A 20,910-nucleotide genomic window follows, 5' to 3' on the forward strand; every position below is an offset into this window, starting at 1 on the left:
TATCATTGATGGACATTTGGGTTGGTTCCAAGTCTTTGCTATTGTGAATAGTGCCGCAATAAACATACGAACACACATAATTCTTAAGCTCACATGGTTCCTCTCACATGCTAGATGATCATTAAATGATTAAAGATGAATTAACTAATCTCTTATTATAAGATTATTTCAAATGTATTAAAATAATTTATTCTCTCTGCTAATAACATTTATGTAAATCTTAGTACATAATCTTTCTCCCTACCTGATTTGTTTAAAGAATAGGAATAAAAACATTAAGTCAAAAGATAAGACCTTAAAAAAATTAGACATTGCCATATTGCTTTCTAGAAAGTTGCTAATTTATATGCCAATATGAAACATTAGTTTTAAAAAAACATTTGCAATTTGATAAGCAAAATATCTTACTTAATTTGTATTTCTTTGGTTATAAGTGAAGTTGAAACATTGTAAATTGTTTCATAAACAATTAGATATTAAAATATTTATAATAAAACAATTTTTAAAAGAATGCCTCAGATGTCTTGTAAGGTAAAATATATTTTATCTAGAATTATTGTTCTTTATTGTTGTTTCTCCTTTTAATAGATAAATTTTGAATAGTTATTAGAAAAACATAACAAAATTCAGAGATAGAAACAGTTGTCCCAGAGGCAGCCATTGTTAACAGTTTTTTATGTATACTTCTAAAGATATTATAGACTATGCATATATATGTATATGTGTATAAATGTGTGTATATGTATATGTTTGTAAGTGTATGTATATATATTTGTGTGTGCATGCATGTGTGTAATGTGTGTGTATATATGCCAAAACATTAGATGAATTATGGAAACCATTCATTAAAATACTTTCTGGTTTAGATGTGTTATTGTGTACCATTTTGTGTATTAAAAATTAGAAAGGGTCTAGCTATGATTCGTATCTGGCTACTGGCCCAGAAGGAAGAAAAGCAGGGTCTGGCAGTATTTGGCGGTAATTTTCTGTAAGACAAGTGGCCTTAGCGCTCCTTATTATTGAATCAGTTCTTTGACAATAGCACTTCTGTTTATAGTACTGATTCTGTAGTACTGTTCCAAAGTGAAAAGCCAAGTTTTTGAAAATTAGACAGATGATACCTGAAAGAAGCTCTTTAAATGTATGAAAGCTATTTGGAGGTATTTAGGAAAACATTTAGGGGAAAGATACTTTATTCTTAAGCATTTTAGGATTCATTTGCTTGACAGTTACAGTTTTTGCAGAATTCCTCTGACTACTGTTTAACAGTGAAAATTTGAGTTTGAATAATTGCAAATAAAATTATTCATTTACTTAAACTTTTATTTACCTAATTTAAAAACCAAATAAAATTATTCATTTACTTAAACTTTTATTTACCTAATTTAAAAACCAATCACCCTCAATATAAACATATTTTAAAAATATTTTAAGACAGTTTTTCATGATAATATATAGTAGTAATTTGTCTCATATATAAAAGATATTTCTGAGCTTGACTTGAATGTCACTGTTAAATAAATGGTTTGAGCAACAAGAGTCAGAAATTTTAATTGGTTTCTGCAGGATTTTAATGGTTTAGGGAAAAGATATTTACTTTTGGGATATATTCTTTTTTTTTTTTTTTGAGATGGAGTCTCGCACTGTCGCCCGGGCTGGAGTGCAATGGCATGATCTTGGCTCACTGCAACCTCGGCCTCCCAGGTTCAAGCAATTCTCTTGCCTTAGCCTCCTGAGTAGCTGGGATTACAGGCGCCTGCCACCATGCCCGGCCAATTTTTTGTATTTTTAGTAGAGACGGGGTTTCATTATGTTGGCCAGGCTGGTCTCGAACTCCTGACCTTGTGATCCACCCACCTTGACCTCCCAAAGTGCTGGGATTACAGGCGTGAGCCACCGCGCCCTGCTCTGGGATAGATTCTTTTTAAGGCCCTTATTTCAAAAACTAAAATTTGGGAATGACTATTGTTTACTGAATACTAACTCACTGACGTAGCCCAGGATAAGTTAGGGGTATTATAAGAGTTCCTGTTTACTGGAATTCTTGTCTCCTACTGAGGATAGATTATAAAGCTCTAAGGGCCGCTGAAAGAATTTACATCTAATTGTGATTGGTAATATTTGGGGAATTTGAAGAAAGAATTTGTCAGAGGGAAGAGATCATCTTGATTTTTTAAAAATGTTCAATTTTGAAATATATCTTTATAGGAGAATTGCAAAGATAGTCCAGAAGATTTCCATGTGCCATATACCCTTCACTCAGCTTTCTCTAATGTTCACATCTTATATAATCATGTTATATTGATCAAAACTAAGAAATTCATACTGATTTTTTAAAAGGGAATTCAATTAACCATTTTTTTTGAAGACCTATTATGTATAAAAGAGTATTTTGGCTGCTGAAGTATGTACAATATGGGAAAACAAGTAAAGGTTACAGACAATAATAGACTGATATCAGAGCTTGGTGTCATTCCTTGAACAAATTCTTAAACAGATTATCGAACACACGTGTTGTCGGTACTTAACAAAAGAAGGCACTGATCACTAGGAGCCAGCATGGGTTCACAAAGAACAAGTAATGACACCTAGCTTCACTTCTTTTTTTATGGGGTAAGTGAACTATTAATAGTAGATATATCAGAAGATACTCTGGCCATAGTATATATAGAATTATTGCTACATTTATTGGATTTTAAATTACGTGCTGGGCACTGGATTAAATGCTTTTACATAGGTTGTCTCATTAAGTTATTGTTTTACAGATGAGGAAAGGGTCCCTCAAGGTTATACATATAGCATTTGACATCCTCTTAACGATATCTTTTTAGACTAGATAGAAAATGTGGTCCGAATAGTTACATAGGTAGGTGGATTAGTAATTGCTTAAATGGCCATATCCAGAGCTTGATGATTAAAATTAAACTGCAGTACATTCTTAGTGGTGTGCCTCAAGAAGCTATCATGTCCTATTTAAGATTTTTATCAGTTACTCTGAAAATTGTAAGGGAATGCTGGTATATATACAGAATCAGCATCTTCACTCTTACTGCCTTATTTCTAATAGTTAAAAATGACAGACTGTATTTAGAAAATATTTGTTACGAAATATGTTATAAGATTTTATATTTGGTGTGTAAATATTTGATAAAGACCGGCCTATAGTTGATTTTTTTTTCAGAAGTCTGCACAAATACAAGATGGGAATCTTGGAGGGCTAACAGCAGTAGATGTGTGTTTGTTTAAGCAGAGGTGTGTGCCTGGGTGTGTCTCCTTATTTGTCTGCAGTTGGTGAGTCAGTGGTTTATTATAACTATCCCAATATTCAGCACCTGCTTAAGCTACACTTTGAAGCATATTGTCCAAAACAGTTGATTATTCTTTTCTACTCTGCATCTAGCTTAGTTCTGTTCTGTTTGCCACATTTTAAGGTAGGCATTGATAAACAGTGTAGTGAGAAGAGAGTAATCAGAATGAAGCATGTCTTGAAACAGTTGCAAAGTAATTGAAACATTGAGGTTGTTTAGCATGGAAGAAAGAAGAGTTGGGGTATATGATAATACTTTTTAGATTGGGTAACTGGATGATCTTTAATGTTCTTCCTGACTCAAATCTGAGATTCTGTGAAACATGAAGGGTTGGCACATGGAAGAAGGATTAAGCATATCTTTTGCATTGCAGTCTGGAGGATGGAACTAGGAACAATGAATGAAAGTTAGAGGAAGGAAAATATTGGTTCATAATGAAGAAGCCTTTTTATTTTTTTAAGAGATGGGGTCTTGCTCTGTTGCCCAGGCTGGTGACAATTTGAATGGAGTAAACATTCACTCCCTGAGGCACTAAAGCATAGATTGAGTAGGGTTTAATCAAGCGATCCTTTAAGGACTTTTCCAATTTAAAAATTTTTAAAAATTTTCTTCATTGGTTGTAATTCCAATTGGCAAAACATTTTCTTGGGCACTTATTCACACTTATAATACTTATGGCTTCATACAGTATCAGATTCTATTAGAGAGAATGATACCTTCCTGATAATCAAAATCTGAAATTATAGTATGAAATAATTTAACTAGATTTTTTATTTTTTTGAGACAGGGTCTTACTCTGTCATCCAGGCTGGTGTGCAGTGGTGTGATCTTGGCTCACTGCAACCTCTGCTTCCTGGGCTAAAGTGATCCTCCAGTCTCAGCCTCCCAGGTAGCTGGGACTACAGGCGCATGCCACCACACCCAGCTAATTTTTGTATTTTTGTAGAGATGGGGCTTTGCCATGTTGCCCAGGCTGGTCTTCAATTCCTGAGCTCAAAGTGATCCACCTGCCTTGGCCTCCCAAAGTGATGGGATTATAGGCATGAGCCACCATACCTGGCCTTAGATGATTTTTAAAAAGTTTATTCACAATTCCGAAGGAAACAAGATTTTAGTCTTGTTTTAGAAATGTCACAGACTAATTGAAGTTGCTTTTAAAGATGATGGCATAAGTATCATTAAATTCAAATGCTTGTGGTTTCTCTTCTGTGTATCTAAAAAAATGTTAATGTCAAAAACTGAAACCACTCATGCCTGTAATCCCAGCACTTTGGGAGGCAAAGGTGGGCAGATCACCTGAGGTCAGGAGTTTGAGACCAACCTGGCCTACATGGTGAAACCCCGTCACTACTAAAAATACAAAAATTAGCTGGGCATGGTGGTGGGCACCTGTAATCCCAGCTACTCAGGAGGCTGAAGCAGCAGAATCACTTGAGCCTGGGAGGTAGAGGTTGCATTGCGCTGAGATCGCACCAGTGTATTCCAGCCTGGGCGACAAGAGTGAAACTATGTCTAAAAAACAAAACAAAACAAAACAAAACAAACAAACAAACAAAACCCCAAAGATTATTAACTTCTAAATGATTCAGTTGTTTAAATCTAAAATGGAACAGTAAACCATTTTATTCACTGTCATCCCTTACACAAATCAGAGCTTTTTTTGGCCTTCATGACCTTCATATTTTTTTATCCTGAGAATACTCTCTTTCTTTAAGCCCATCTAAAGTCTAATTTTTAGGACTTAACCCTGATCCATTTTTTTAAAGTCATCTCGGGTTCTTCTATCCAACACTGATATTTTTCTTTCTTTTCTAACAGTTTGGTAATCTATTAGTACTATATCCTATACTGTTACTAATTGCTTTATAATATGTAAGGTTTTTTAAAAAAATTAACAGGATTATAAGCCCCTTGAAGACTCTTTTACTGAGGCTTGAAAACTACTTAATGAAATTAAAATTTACAGACTCGGTGGTTGAATTTTAGCTAATGTTGAAACTCTTAATAGCATGAGAAAAAGCCTATGCAGAATTTCCATGTTTAGTTTCTACTTTTTTTCTTTAGCAATATGATCTTTAGTCTTCATCTGATGTATTGTAAAATTTACAAATAATAGTAATATACCCACTTTAAAAATGAAAAATAAGAAAAAGATTTTTCCATCATCCTCACATTCTTAATACCACCATCTCCTAAATTTTGGAGTCTCCCTTTTGTTGTTTTTCAATGCATATGCCAATGTCTTTGTCATTAGCCCTCAGAAGTGGCAAATAATTTTAAAATGTGTATTTCAAAACGAAATTTCTTTTTAGAAAATCAGGAGATACATTCTAGTAAATGTACTTACTGGACCTCAGTAGTGTACTTTTTACTTTGTTACATTCATATGAACACCAAAAAGTTTAATGAATAAAATAGAATATATTTTAACATGTTTAAGAAGTATGTCTGTGACAACATCTAATTGAGCTGTTGATGAAGTTAGTTTATAGTCATCAGCTTCATTTTCTATATTCTTCATTCCCTGTACAAAATACTTGTCATACCCAGTGGGTGTTCCAGACTTAGCATGTTTTAAAATCAAGGTAGCATTGTCATATTTTGTTTTGATTGGCTTTTGCTCAGGGGAAGTTTGGGTCCATATCAGAGATCTGTTTGCCTTCTTCACTGAAGCTAATGACTTTCTGTTATGTGATAGGCTTTCACTGCTTCTTCATGTGGGGGCATCTCTGCAATGTAAATTGCTATTTTCCAGTTATTTTACTTAAATTAAAACAAATAAAGTTTCTGAAGACACTCAGGAAATGTGTGAATTTACTGAGTATATAACCTTAGAACCCTTGAGCAGGAAAACATCAAATCACAAATAGGGAGGTGAGTATACTGGCTGGCAAATCTTACATTGTACTTTGTCATGTAACACTGTTCACTTACTCATTTTTAGAAGCTACATGTGCATTATATACTAATGGTATATCTCTCAAATAATTGAAATAATGAAAAATTGATAATTCAGAGCCACTTTTTATTTGGCATGGGATGTGATTGTTTTTGCATTACCACATATTAAAGTCTAAAAGGAGTTAAATTTTGTGATCTAGTAGTTTTCAGTGGAACCTTGTTTTTTTTTTTTTTTTTTTTTTTTGAGACAGGGTCTTGTTCTGTTGCCCAGGCTGGAGTGCAGTGGTGTGATTTCGGGCTCACTGCAACCTCCACCTCCTGGGTTCAAGCGCTTCTCCTGCCTCAGCCTCCCAAGTAGCTGGGACTGCAGGTGGGCAATACCACACCTGGCTAATTTTTGTATTTTTAGTAGAGACAGGGTTTCACCATGTTGGCCAGGCTGGTCTCAAACTCCTGACCTCAGATGATCTGCCCACCTCAGCCACCCAAAGTACTGGGATTACAGGCATGCGTCAGCCACCACCCCTGGCCCATTTTTGTTTTTTTTCCTCAAACATCTATATGGCACTGCAATATAGAATACAAATAAAAAGTAACATTTTTGTATAACTTTAAGTACATATTTATAACATTAACTTAGCATAAAGGGGATCAGTGACATTCAGGGTAGGCTCTTAAGTTGTCTTATCTTCACGACATTCTATTGCCACTTTATTCCTAGCATTTAACAGTGCCTCATACATAGCAGATTCCAAATGTATCTTAGTGAAATAAATGAATGAATGACTTAGGCCATTTTGATGTACTCAAGAATTTGAAATTGAATAACTGATAATGATTGTAGTTTCTCAATCTCTGCATTAAATTTCTATTTTGTTTTGATTGTACAATGTCCACCACAACTGGAAGAGTTGTTTTAGTTGGTTCTTGAGACTTAGAGTAGAATCAGGACACTCTCAAATTGAACTATGACTTTGAAAAAAGAAGTGGATAATGTTTCAAACCTGAATCAGGAACATTTCATATTTGCTTTTTTTTTTTTTTTGAGACAGTCTCTTTGTCACCTAGGCTGGAGTGCAATGGTGCAATCTCGGCTCTCTGCAACCTTTGCCTCCTGGGTTCAAGCGATTCTTGTGCCTCAGCCTTCCGAGTAGCTGGGATTATAGGCATGCGCCACCACACCCAGCTAATTTTTGTATTTTAGTAGAGACGGGGTTTCACCACGCCCAGCTAATTTTTGTATTTTTAGTAGAGACAGAGTTTTGCCATGTTACCAGGCTGGTCTCAAACTCCTGACTTCAGGTGATCCATCTGCCTTGGTCTCCCAAAGTGCTGAGATTACTGGTGTGAGCCACTGCACCCGGCCTTGCTTGTGTTCTTTATGATGAATATAAAAGAAGTTAAACAGGAGATATCACCATTTTTTGATAATTTTTAAAACAATAGTACAATATGTTATGAGTCCCTTAGTATAACAGCTTCACTGAAGTATAACTGGCATATAGTGAATTACACAATTTAGTAAGTTTTGATGTAGGTATATACCTGTGAAATCATTACCACATTCAAAATAGTGACCATACCCATCATCTCCAGAAGTTTCTTCATGCATGCCCCTTTATTATCTTTACTTCATGCCCCTTTATTATCTTTACCTCATGCCCCTTTATTATCTTTACTTCATGCCCCTTTATCATCTTTACTTCATGCCGCTTTATCATCTTTACTTCATGCCGCTTTATCATCTTTACTTCATGCCCCTCCACACTCCACCCTCTCAAAGTAACCATTGATCTACTTAATGTAACTACAGATTGATTGTTTTGTATTTTCTAGAGTTTTATATAAATGGAATTACATAGTATGTACTTTTCTTTATAGTCTGGCTTCTTTCACTCAAATAATTATTTTGAGATTCTTCTCTGTTGTTGCATGTATAAATAATTCATTCATTTTTTGTAGTAATATCCCATTATATGGGTATACCAAAATTTATCATTCATTTGCTGATGAGCATTTGGGTTATTTACAGTTTTATTTACAAATAAAGCTGTTACGAATATTAGTGTACGAGTCTTTATATGGACATATATTTTCATTTCTTTTGGTTAAATAGGATGACTAGGTCACAGGGTAGGTATCTGTTTTACCTTTTTTGGGAATAACATATTTATCATAAAGGGCTAATTTTCTTAATACACAAAGAGATCTTGTAGCTCGGTAAGAGTAAGATCAAAAATCCAACAGAAAAATGGGCAGAGGACAAAACCAGGTAGCTAATATCAAAAAATATACAAATGGCTTTAAGCATAAGAAAATATTTTTGGAAAGCTGAACAAAAAACTTAATATGTTGTTTAAAATTTAAACCTCTAGAGTCAGTCTGCTTGGGTTTGCATATTCTCTAACAATCAGTGTAATCAAGTTCCCTAACCTTCCTGTGTTTCAGTTTTCTCATCAGTAAAATGTGGCTAATAATAGCAATATCATCTACCTCAAGGGACTGTTATGAGTATTAGATAAGTTAATATATGTGGAGTTCTCAGAACAATATCTGACACACAGTAAGTGCTCTATGGAAGTTTATTTTTATTATTATTCAAATGCAAATTTAAACAGGAGAACATTTTTTGATTATCAGATTGACAAGGATTAAAAAGCTCAATAATACACAACACTGGCAAAGATATCTAGAATCACTGTTATATACTGTAGGCAGGAACACAAATTGTGCAATTTCTTTGGAGGACAAGTTGACTTTACATGTTAAAATGATAAATATTCATACTTTTTCATTCAATTTTAAATAATTTATCTTTGCTCTTTATAGTATTAATTATATTGTCAAAAAACATATATGACTCTTAGTAGGGGTCTGGTTAAATAAATGATGATATAGCCACACAATGGGATGTCATATAGTCATAAAAAAAGAAAAAAGGAGCACTTCTCCATAAGCTAATCTCTAAGACACATTATTGGGTTAAAAAAAAGTAAGTTGCAGAGCAGTGTTTATGGTATGCCGCTTATATTGCTGTAAATAAGTTGTGTATGTGTTGGTGTAAATACACATGCATATGCACACATTAATAAACATATTTTGCTTCAAAATGCATAGACTTTTCTAGAAGGATACACAAGAAAGGGAATAGTTCCTTCTGAAGAGGGACTAAAAGAAGGGACCAGGAGATTGGAAATCAGATCTCGGTATGACTGTGGTTGGGTTTGGTTGTGTACACTTTTATACTGCTTGAGTATTTATTTCTTGTCAAGAGAATATTACATTAAAAGAATTTGTAGTATGTAATTATAGATTCACAGGAAGTTGGAAAATTCGTGCAGAGAGGTACCATATACCCTTCATCCAATTTCAAACCCTGCTGGTAACATCTTATATAACCCTAGTGCACTATCAAAACCATGAAATTGATGTTGGACAATCCAAAGACTTTATTCAGATTTCACCAGTTTTACAGGCACTCATTGTATGTGTGTAATTGTTTGCAGTTTTATCATGTGTAGTTTTGACCACCACAGTCAAGATACAGAACTGTTTCATCACAACAGAAATCCCTGTGCCATCCCTATATAGTCATATCTCTCATCCTAACCACTGACAACGTAACTCCTGGCCTTAAAGAGCATATAGTTTTATAGGGGAGATAATAGAGATATACCAACAATTCAGTACAAAGAACAACACAAGTGGCTGTGTGCAGTGGCTCATGCCTGCAATCCCAGCACTTCAGGAAGCCAAGGCGGGTGGATCACTTGAGAGGTCAGGAGTTCAAGACCAGCCTGGCTAACATGGCGAAACCCTGTCTCTACTAAAAATACAAAAATTAGCTGGGCGTGGTGGTGCATGCCTGTAGTCCCAGCTACTCAGGAGGCTGAGGCACAAGAATTGCTTGAGCCTGGGAAGTGGAGGTTGCAGTGAGCTGTGAATGCGCCACTGCACTCCAGCCTGGACGACAGAGTGAGACTCTGTCTCAAAAACCAATACCATAACAAGTGCCAAAAGAACGTATTTATTGCTTTGAGAGTTATGAGTGATCAAATATTAAAAAAGGATCAGAAAAATCTTCATGGAAATAATTAGTATAGTTATAAGGAGAACTGGCTATAGTTCTGATTCTGCATTAAACACCACTAACTAACCAGATGTATAAAATAAGAAAGTTGAGAGAAAGATTTTTTTAGTGGTCCCTTTTAGTATAGTCTTAATACTGTGGATAATTTGGCATCATCCTTGAAGGAGGGCTATGATTTTATTCATTTATCAAATATTTGACCATTTTATGCCAGGCACTGCTCTAGGCTCTGTAAGTACCTCAGTGAACAAAACAGACAAAAATCCCTACCCCTACCCTGAGAAGACATACATTTTAGATGAGTGAATTAAAAAAAATGTAAGTTTACAGCATGTTAGAAGATAAGTAGTAAAGAGGAAAAATAAACCAGGGAAGGGGGAATAAAGTATGGGAGGAGTTACACTTCTCTAAAGGATGGCCAGGAAAATTCACTGATAAGGTGACTTTTAAATAACATGAAGACAGTCAGTGAAGGAGATATGACACAAATACAAATCATTCTAGGCCCAGGGAATAGCAAATGCCAAGTCTCTGAGGTTGGAGCATGCCTGCGGTATTTACATTTGAAGAAGCTTGTCATTGGAGTTGAGTAAAGGACTGGGTAATATAGGATGAAGTCAGAAAGGTAATGATGGCACTGGTGATGGGCTGGTTGTGCTGCCAGGTCAAGCAAGGTCTTATAGACCATTTTAAGGACTTCAGCTTTTAGACTAAGTGATACGTGGTATAGAAAGACATTGGATGAGTTGGAACAGAATAGTGACATGATTGGACTTTTAAAGAGTCAGTCTGGCAACTGTTGAGAGTAGGCTAAAGGAGAACAAGGGCAGAAGCAGTGAAACCACCTAGGAGACTGTTGCAGTAATTCAGGTGAGAGGTGATGGCTTGGACCAAAATGGTAGTAGTGGTGGTGGTGAGTAATTGACATTTTGAGGTCAACAGGATTTGGGGGACTGGGAAGCAGGGAGAGAAAAAAGAGGGAGGCACAGAGGTTAAGGGTGATACAAAGTTTGTGGTCTGAGCACCTAGAAGGCTAGTTACCCATTTGCTGTTATGGGTAAAACTATGATGGAAGATTTTGGAGGAGAGAAGTTGGATCTTGGACAAAGTAAATTTAAGATATATCTTAGGTATTCTAAGTGAGATGACTGCTAACTATCTGAGTCTAGAGTTCAAAGGAAAGGAATGGGCTAGAGGTTTAAGTTTGGGAATTATGTATAGATGCTATTTAAAGAAATCAGATCAGATGACTTCACTAAGGGAGTAAGCATAAAGAGGCGAAGGTCCAGGACAGAGATTTGGAGCACTACAACATTTAAAGTTTGGGAAATGAAGAACTAGCAAAGGAAACTTAGAAGGAGAAATCACTGAGGCAAGAGGAAAACCAGGAGAACATGGAATCTTGGAAGCCAATGAAGAAAGTGTTTTGAGAGGAGGGAGTAATGAACCCCTTGTCAGATGCTGCTCATAGTTCCAGTAAAGAGAACTGGTAATTGAATTGGTCATTCTAGTTTGCAATGTGGAATTCATTAGTGATTCTGACAAGAGCAGGTTTGATAGAGTGGTGGGGAAATAGACTCATTGGAATGGATTCAAGAGAAAGGGAAGTGAGAAATTGGAGACATGCAGAAAGAATCATTTTTCTGAGGAATTTTGCTGAAGAGGGAGGGAGAGAAATAGAATAGTAACTTAAGAGAGATGTTCAAAGAGTTTTTTTGTTTTTTGTTTTTGTTTTGACGTGTTTGTAGGAGGCTGAGAAAAAAATGGAAAATTTGATGGGATAGACGAAGAGGTAGTGGTGGTTAATGGGGATCTAGTGTGTAAGTAAAAAGGTTGGGTCTTGGGTAGAGCAGAAATAGTTCACGCTAGTAATGAAAGAGGAATCAGAATATGTGGGCACAGACGTAGTTAGGTAGATGTGGTTTGAGAGTTTGTAGAAGTTCTTTTATTGCTTCTAGTATTTTATTAGTAAAATAGGACACAGGGTCATAAGATAAAAGTGAGGATGAGAGGGAAGGTGATGGAAGATTGAGGAGCAAAAAGTTGAAATAGTTATGTAAGAGAGTGGCAGAATGGATGAATCAGGAAAATAAGGTATAATTGTCAGTCAGCATTAAGGAAACTCATTTGAGGCTCCTGGCCACGAATTTAAAGAGAAACCAATTTATCAGACATCGTGTATTTGTGTGTGTGTGTGTGTGTGTGTGTGTGTGAGAGAGAGAGAGAGAGAGTGCATGTCCATCCAGCCACATGCAGCTGTGTAGGTATCAACACAGAATAGGCAGAAAATTGCGCTGAAAGAGAGAGAGAGAGAGAGAGAGTCCATCCAGCCACATGCAGCTCTGTAGGTATCAACATAGAATAGGCAGAAAATTGCATTGGTAACAACTAGCCAAGCAAGATTGACATAGTCAGAAGGAAGACAAGTAGTTAAGCATGTATGCAAAGGAAGGAAGGAAGTAAATGATTGAATATGGATTTAATTTGGGTAAGAAGGGGATTGAGGACATGGGAAGGTAAAAGGAAGTGCAGAAGTCATCAGATTAGTGGACTACAGGTCTGTTGGGTTGGCAGATTTTTTGGAGTTAGGATATTAGAGGTAGTGAGCTGGTATCAGAGTGTGATACTTAAAAATGGTATTTCGAGGCTGGGCATCATGCCTCATGTGTGTAATCCTAGCACTTCGGGAGGCTGAGGCAGGTGGATCACTTGAGGTCAGGAGATTGAGACCAGCCTGGCCAACATGGTGAAACCCCGTCTCTACAAAAAAATACAAAAATTAGTCGGGTGTGGTGGTGCGTGCCTGTAGTCCCAGCTACTCAGGAGGCTGAGGTGGGAGGATCACTTGAGTCCAGTGAGCTGTGATTGCACCACTGCACTCCAGCCTGGGCGACAGGGTGAGACCCTGTCTCAGAACAAAACAAAACAAAAAATGGCATTTTGGAAGGGTTGCATTTATTAAAATTGAGAAGGTTTAAGGTTTGACTGTATGGGAATGAGTATAAAATAGGGTTGAGGGAAGGATCAGTGGAAGATCCTAGATCTACTGAAGGGCAGAACTTCCTTTCTGATAATAAGAAACTGACAAGCAAGAATTGGGAAAGGATTGTGTGGATGATGAGATTCCCAAGCATTATGAAAATAATGATGGTGTAATGAGCAAGCAGCTAAAATCTTCAAGAAATAAAGTGGAGAGCTTGATAACTGCAGTAAAGAACGGCTACAGTCTGATGATGAGATTTCAGTTTGGATGTTTTTAGGGAAGAGTTAGGAAGAATTGTCTGGAATGGGCAACTAGGATTGAGAAAGAATAGAAGCTTTTAGTCTGAGGAACTGAGCCACCATTATCAGGCCTAGAGAGGCACTGAAATGAAATAATTACCTCTGGAAGCCACATGCTGTGTGGGCTCTAGACTGATACCAGGTAGCCATAAAATGCCATGTGCTAGACGCCATAACTCATACCCTATAGTTCGACAATATATAGTCAATCACTAATCAATGCTATTTCTGTAAACCAATGAGAATTCCTGTCAAACAATTGTGTATCAGTCTGCTCCATGTCCCCCTTTGCCTTTAAAAACCTGCTGGTAACAAAGGCTGAATGGGGCACTCCCCAAGGCAACTTGGAAATGTGTCCTAGGCTGCAGGTCTCAACCTTGGCTCAAATAAATTCTCTATATTAATTTTACTTCAGTTTCTTCCTTTAGGTCAGTAGGATCAAGAAGACCTACCTTCACATCCAGGCCCTGTGGTATGAGGAGTTGGGAGGGAAAACACATAACACTTGAGAAAGCTTCAGGGGAAATGCCGATAACAGAGAACCAAGTTGTAGTTAGAGCAAGAATGACTTTAACTAGTAGAACCAGTGAAGAACATCCCAAATAGAGGAAACACCAGAAACAGAGTCACAAAAGGTACATTATTTGATGTTGGAGAATAGCGACAACTCTAGTGCAGTTTAGAATTTAAGGTTTATTCCAGTTTGATGTCTTCGTAGTCACATCCCTTTTAGTATCATGTAGAATTTATAGGCATTCTCTATATTTTAACATCCAGGAATTTTTCATAAGAATGAACATCAATCCCAATATTGAAATAGTAGGACATGGCTTAATGCTGATCCTGAACCATTAATAATGATTTTTGTTACAGCTTCCCAGCCACTTCTTCAATTTAGTTGTAGCTCTGGGCATGCAATGCGGAATAATGACATCTCTCCTCCCTTATGAATCCTACCTCCCACCAAGTCTCTCAGGAATACCCAAATCAGAGAAAAATATTAATTATAAAAAATAAGCATAGAGCTCTTTCATCTCTTTCCCAAAGTATTTCTAGAATTTTTTCACCTAGTTTATATTACTACATTTAAATTACCCACTAATAGAATAACAGTGTTCTTAAAATATTTTTAGAAATCCAAGAGACCATGTTGGTTCTTAAGCACCTTTTGTTGTTCATCAGCTACATGTATTATATCACTAATATGTTTCAGTTAGGTGTCTTTCAACTTTAGATATCAGAAAGCCCAATTCAAACAACCTTACACAATGAAGAAATTTATTAGCTTAATGTAACTGGAAGTCCAGAGGAAAGGCAGTCTTTAGGATTAGTCAGTTAGTACCTTAATGAAGACACCAAAGATTCAGATCATTTCCATTGTTCCACTCTGCTGTCCACAGTGCTGGCTTTATTCCAGGGTGGGATTCTCAGATTCTCTTCATACAGTGGGTACCAGGAAGGAGCTATATGTTCTATAAGGAGGAAAAATTCTGGCTTCCTCCTAACAGAAAGGACAACCTTAACCAGAGGCCACCAGCAAACCTCTTCTACCTCTTCTCCTATCTGATTGACATGATTCCTTCTCATATCTGAGTCAGTTTCTGGCAGTGAGGATGGATCCACCATTGAGCTAAAGTTAGTTCTCCCAGTTTTTGCCACTCAGAGTTGTGGCGTGGATATTGGAGAACACAGTCACAATGTCTGCTTACAGTGTTTGCCTTGGTTGTGTTCTAATGCTCTGAGGTTCTTTATTCATTCTTATCTGTTACATTTTTATAGTGAGTTAAAATATGCTTCATCATACTTTATTGGTTTAATTGCCATGTTCAGAGCTTTCTGTCATATAGAGAGTAGAGCAATTATTAAGCATTCCTTTCTGCAAAAAGGGAAAAATGCTGGAATAGTGAAAAGATTGAAGATAGTTGGCAAATTTGAATCTGTACCTCCTTATAACCAATAGTTTTTAACCTCTTTCAACCTCCAGTAATTGACTTAGCTATCATTTACATAGAAACTTTAGTAATTTGATTTGTATCTCCTTTCTCTCTGTCAAAAGTTGCCTGAAGCGTTGTGGTAAAGTAGAAAGTGGACTGGGTTGTGATTAAGTTTCTAATTAATTCTAGCTCCACTGCTTTCCAGATCTGTGTGATCATGGGCAGATAACTTCATCTCAGACCTTCTGCTTGCTTCTCTGTAAGCCTGGAGAGAACTACCTGTCTTCTCATCAAGTTGTTTTTATTGGAGTTAGTGTAGCGAAAACTCTCAAACCGTGTTTTTTTCTACTCTCACACCACCACAAAAATCATCATCAATACAGAAGAAGACTTCTGTGACCAAAGGTATGGGGGTTTTTCCCTACACACCAAGCAGTGCACATCAGCTGGGTATTCTCCAGTTCAATTCTGGCACTGTCTACCTGGAGAATTTAAGAACATGCCAACCTATCCTTAAGATACCAGTCACAAGTCCGGGCCACCCCATCCTTCAGACACCAGTTGCAAATCTGGGCCTCTGGAACTTCTGACCAACTGGTTTCAAGTTGGGTTCCTCTTTGGGCCCACTTCCTCTTTGGGCTCAATTAATTTGCTGGAGTGGTGCACAGAACTCAGGGAAATACTTGCTTACCTTTAGTGGTTTATTATAAAGGATATATGTAGAGGATACAGATGAAGCGATGCATAGGGTGAAGTATGGGGGAAGGGGTGCGGAGCTTTCATGTCCTCCCTGGGTATGCTACCCCCTGGGAACCTCCGTATGTTCAGCTATCCAGAAGCTCTCTGAACCAGTTTTCTTGGGTTTTTAAAGAAGCCTCATGACATCAACATTCCTTCCTCCAGGGTATGAGGCAGGACCCTCTCTGGAGGGTCTTAAGACCCACTGTCAGAGAGGCTGGGTAGATTAAAGTCCTGCTATAGAGCCGATAAAAGGAGAAGAGGAGAAGGTCAGAGGCCTGCCTCTGAGGCCTCACACCCTCAGCATTATAACAAAAGACAAACAAGGGCTATAGGGGTTAGGAGCCAGGAACCATGAATGAAAACCAATGTATATGTATCATAATGCTGCAGAGTTAAATAAGCTAATATGAAAGAAATCTGATAAATATAGAGTAGCAAACAATTTTAAATTGCCTGAATTATTATATTCTAATAGTAAACTGTAGGCAGTTAAAGAGAGGAACCTGAATAACACAGAAGATTCTGATGCTAAAAAATAAATAGTTGATCTTAGTTTCTGAGTATCTAAGGTGTATCAGAAGAAGATAAGGATGTGTGCAGCTTTTTTGAAAGTAGATGCTTAATGAATAGTTAGCTACTAGTTAGTATATCCAATGGCTACTTCTCAAGTATTCCCTAGAATTTTTTTAACTTAAATTTTTGCCCCTTTTCTGGCTAAAGCTGTTTTTGAAGGTATCAACTAGGTATTATAAGCTTTAGGGCTTTGTGTAGCTTACAAGGTATGACAGATACATTTATTCAAATTATTGACTGTTTTCTCATATACACTTTTTTTTTCCTTTCTTGGAATATCATTCTTTTGAAGAACCCCAGGGTTTCACATTGGGTGAAGTTTGGTTGTTATTACCAAAAGAGATAGCACATTTCATTGCTGAGAACCCTCAAGAGCAAGACTTCATATTTGGAGTAGAATGAAATTAAGATGACACTAAAGAATTTGACTTATAAAAAACTAATATATCCATTCAATGTCTTAGGTTAATGTTCATGGTGAGTCTGAGTATGTTAATAAACTGTATTAGCTATAGTTTCTGTATCTCATTACTATTGGTTTGAAACTGGGTATATATGCTTCTTAAATTGTTGACATTCACCTTTTTGTTTTGAGCTAGTCACTGTTATCTGTCATGTTAGACTTGGGGCCATAGCTTTTTCTAAATGAAAAGACTTATCTTACCATATTTTTTTTCTTTTACATAAGAGATACTATTAATATATATAAGCCTTGAAAGGAAAAGGATACTAATGTATGTTGACTGTGTTACTATGTACAAGCATACCAAACATTTAACATTTGTATCATTTAATTCTCCCTTCAACCTGGTGAGAGAGTATTATTGTCCCCATTTTACAAAAGGAAACATTGAAACATAGAGATTAAGTAAACAAAATTACTATAATGGAGAAATCCTGCTTTCTCCTTCCCTTTTACCCTCAGTGGGCATTTTTCATACCTGCTTTCATTTAATTATACAACTCTTTGAAGATGTTATTATCATTTTGCAGATGAAGAAAAACATTAACATGAATGTACAATTTAAAGAATAAGAAAATGAAAATGTGTACTACATTAAGGAATAGAAGCCTATATAAAAGGTTTTCGTTTGGTTTTGTTTACATCAATTGATTCTCAAATGTTAAACCAACCTTGCTTTTTTTCATATCAACACTACTTGGGGCCGGCCATGGTGGCTCACCTGTGCAATCTCAGCACTTTGGGAGGCCCAGGCGGGTGGATTGCTTGAAGTCAGGAGTTCGAGACCAGCTTGGCCAACATGGTGAAACCCCGTCTCTACTAAAAATACAAAAAATTAGCCAGGCATGGTGGCACGCACCTGTAGTCCCAGCTACTCAGGAGGCTGAGGCAGGAGAATCACTTCAACCTGGGAGGCAGAGGTTGTAGTGATCAGAGCTCGCCCCACTGCACTCCAGCCTGGGTGACAGAGCGAGACTCCATCTCAAAAAACAAAAAACAACAACAACAAAAAAATTAGCTGGGCCTGGTGGTGCATGCCTGTAGTCCTAGCTACCCAGGAGTCTGAGGCAGAGAATCACTTGAACTGGGAGGTGGAGGTTGCCAAGATTGCCACTGCACTCCAGCTTGGGCGACAGAGTGAGACTCCGTCTCAAAACAAAAACAAAAAACAAAACAAAACAAAAAAACACAACTTGGTCATGAGGTATTGTACTTTTTACATATTGTTGGATTTGATTTATGTCATATTAAGTATTTTTACATCTATATTCATAGGAAAATTGGTCTATAGTTTTCTTATAATATCTTAGTTTGGTTTTGATACAGGGTCATGGTGCCCTTTTAGAATGACTTGAGAAGTGTTCTCTCTTCTTCAATTTTCTGGATAAGCCTTTTAGAATTAGTATTATTTCTTCCTTAAATGTTTGTTAGAATTGACCAGTGAAGTCAGCTGGACCTGGAAGTTTTCTTTGTGGGGTGGTTTTTAACTGTAATTTCAATTCCTTTAATATATGTAAGGTTATTCAGGTTATCTGTTTCTTCTTGAGTGAGCTTTATAATTTGTCTTTCATGGAATTTGTCTGTTTCATCTAAGTTGTTAAATCTATTGACATCAAGTTGCTCATGACGTTCTCTTACCCTTTTAATGTCTGTCTTTAATTTATCTCTCTCACTTGTGATATTGGTAATTTATGTATTTTCTCTCCACCCCCCTCCTCCATTAGTCTGGCTAGTGATTTATTAATTTTATTGATCTCAGAGAGCCAGCATTTGCTTTCATTGACTCAATAAAAAATTTTAAATAAACTTTATTTTTTTAGAGCAGTTTTAGGTTCACAGCAAAATTGAGTGGAAAATACAGAGTTCTTATATCCCCCCCACCAGCCTTTCCCACTTCAACATTTCACACCAGAAGTGGTATATTTGTTACAACTGAACCTACAGTGATGTATCATTATCACCCAAAGTCCATAATTTACATTGGGGTTCACTCTTGATGTTGTACATTCTGTGGGTTTTGACAAATGTGTAATGGCATATATCTACCATTATCATATTATCATACAAAATAGTTCCACTCTCCTAAAAATCCTCTGTGCTCCACCTGTTCATCCCTACCTCCCAGTTAACCCCTGGCAACCACTGATCTTTTCACTCTCTCCATAGTCTTTGCCTTTTTCAAAGTTTCATACAGTTGAAATCATATAGTATGTCACCTTTTCAGATTGGCTTCTTTCACGTAGTAATATATACGTTTAAGGTTCTTGCATGTCTTTTCATGCATGGCATGATTGCTCATTTCTCTTTAGCGCTGAATCATATTCCATTGTCTGGATGTGCCACGGTTTATTTATCCATTCACCTACTGAAGGACATATTGGTGGCTTCCAAGTTTGGGCAATTATGAATAAAACTGCTATAAACATAAGGACATACGTTTTCGACTCATTTGGGTCACTACCAAGGAGCATGATTGCTGGATCATATGGTAAGAGTATATTTAGTTTTGTAAGAAACTGCCAAACTGTCTTCCAAAGTGGCTTTACCATTTTGCATTTTACTGATCTCAAAGAACCAGCTTTTGGTTTCGTTGACTTTTTTCTATTTCTTTTCTGTTGTACGTGTATGTTTTTCATTCCTGCTCATCTATCTTTTCTTTCTTCTCCTTCTGTGTACTTCCCTTCAGAAGAGGAGGACACACTTACTGCTTAGGATTAGCTTGCTTTTCTCTTTCTAATTTTTTTTTAACTTTTATTTTAAGTTCAGGGGTACATGTGCAGGTTTGTTATATAGGTAAACTTGTGTCATGGAGGTTTGTTGTACAGATTATTTTGTCACTCAGGTATTAAGCCTAGCACCCTTTAGTTAGTTTTCCTGATCCTCTCCCTCATCCCACTCTCCACCCTCCAGTAGGCCCCAACTAATTTCCTAAAGTGAAAGCCTAGGTCACTGATTTGAGACCTTCTTTTCTAACATTCAGAAGTATATTGTTTAGTTTCCAGATGTTTGGAGATTTTTTTTTAGATGTTTTTCTAATTTTAATTTCTAATATAATTTTATTGTGATCAGAGAATATACTTTGCATGCTTTGAAATCCTTGAAACTTAGTGAGAATGTTTTATGGCTCAGAATATAGTCTGAGTTGGGGTGTTGTTCCATGTGTACTTGAAAAGATGTGTATTCTGCTGTAATTTGGTGGTGGATTCTATAAATGTTAATTAGATCAAGTTGGTTGCTAGTGGTGTTCAAGTTTACTATGTCCTTACTAAGTTTTTGTCTACTAGTTGTGTCATTATTGAGAGATTTGTTGAAATCTCTGACAATAATTGTGGATTTGTCTGTTTGTGCTTGTAATTTTATCAGGTTTTGCTTTAGGCATTTTGAAGCTCTGTTACTAGCTTAGGATTTTTCTTCTTGATGAATTCATCCCTTTACTCATTGTGAAATTATTCTTTTTATTCTTAGTAATAATCTTTACTGTAAAATATACTTTATCTGTTATTAATATAGATACTCTAGCTCTCCTTTGATTAGTGTTAGCCCAGTTAACAATCCTTTAACCTTTATGTGTTTTTATATTTAAAATGGGTTTCTTGTAGACAGCATATAGTTGGGTTT

The 20,910-nt window shown here is 36.5% G+C and overlaps 1 protein-coding gene across 9 annotated transcripts in view; it reads left to right on the forward strand.

The window, feature by feature from the left end:
- GLCE (glucuronic acid epimerase) overlaps positions 1 to 20,910 on the forward strand; it is a 111,573-nt gene that overhangs the window by 9,153 nt on the left and 81,510 nt on the right. Inside the window, exon 1 of one of the 9 annotated variants that reach the window (XM_047432379.1) lies at positions 11,562 to 19,780. The exons of the other annotated variants lie outside the window; for them this stretch is intronic. The gene's annotated coding sequence lies outside the window, so the exon portion shown is untranslated. Of the gene's footprint in view, positions 1 to 11,561; positions 19,781 to 20,910 lie in introns of those variants that run through there. 9 annotated transcript variants of the gene reach the window in all.

Source organism: Homo sapiens, chromosome 15 (genome assembly GCF_000001405.40).
Source record: "Homo sapiens chromosome 15, GRCh38.p14 Primary Assembly".
Taxonomy (NCBI): Eukaryota; Metazoa; Chordata; class Mammalia; order Primates; family Hominidae; genus Homo; species Homo sapiens.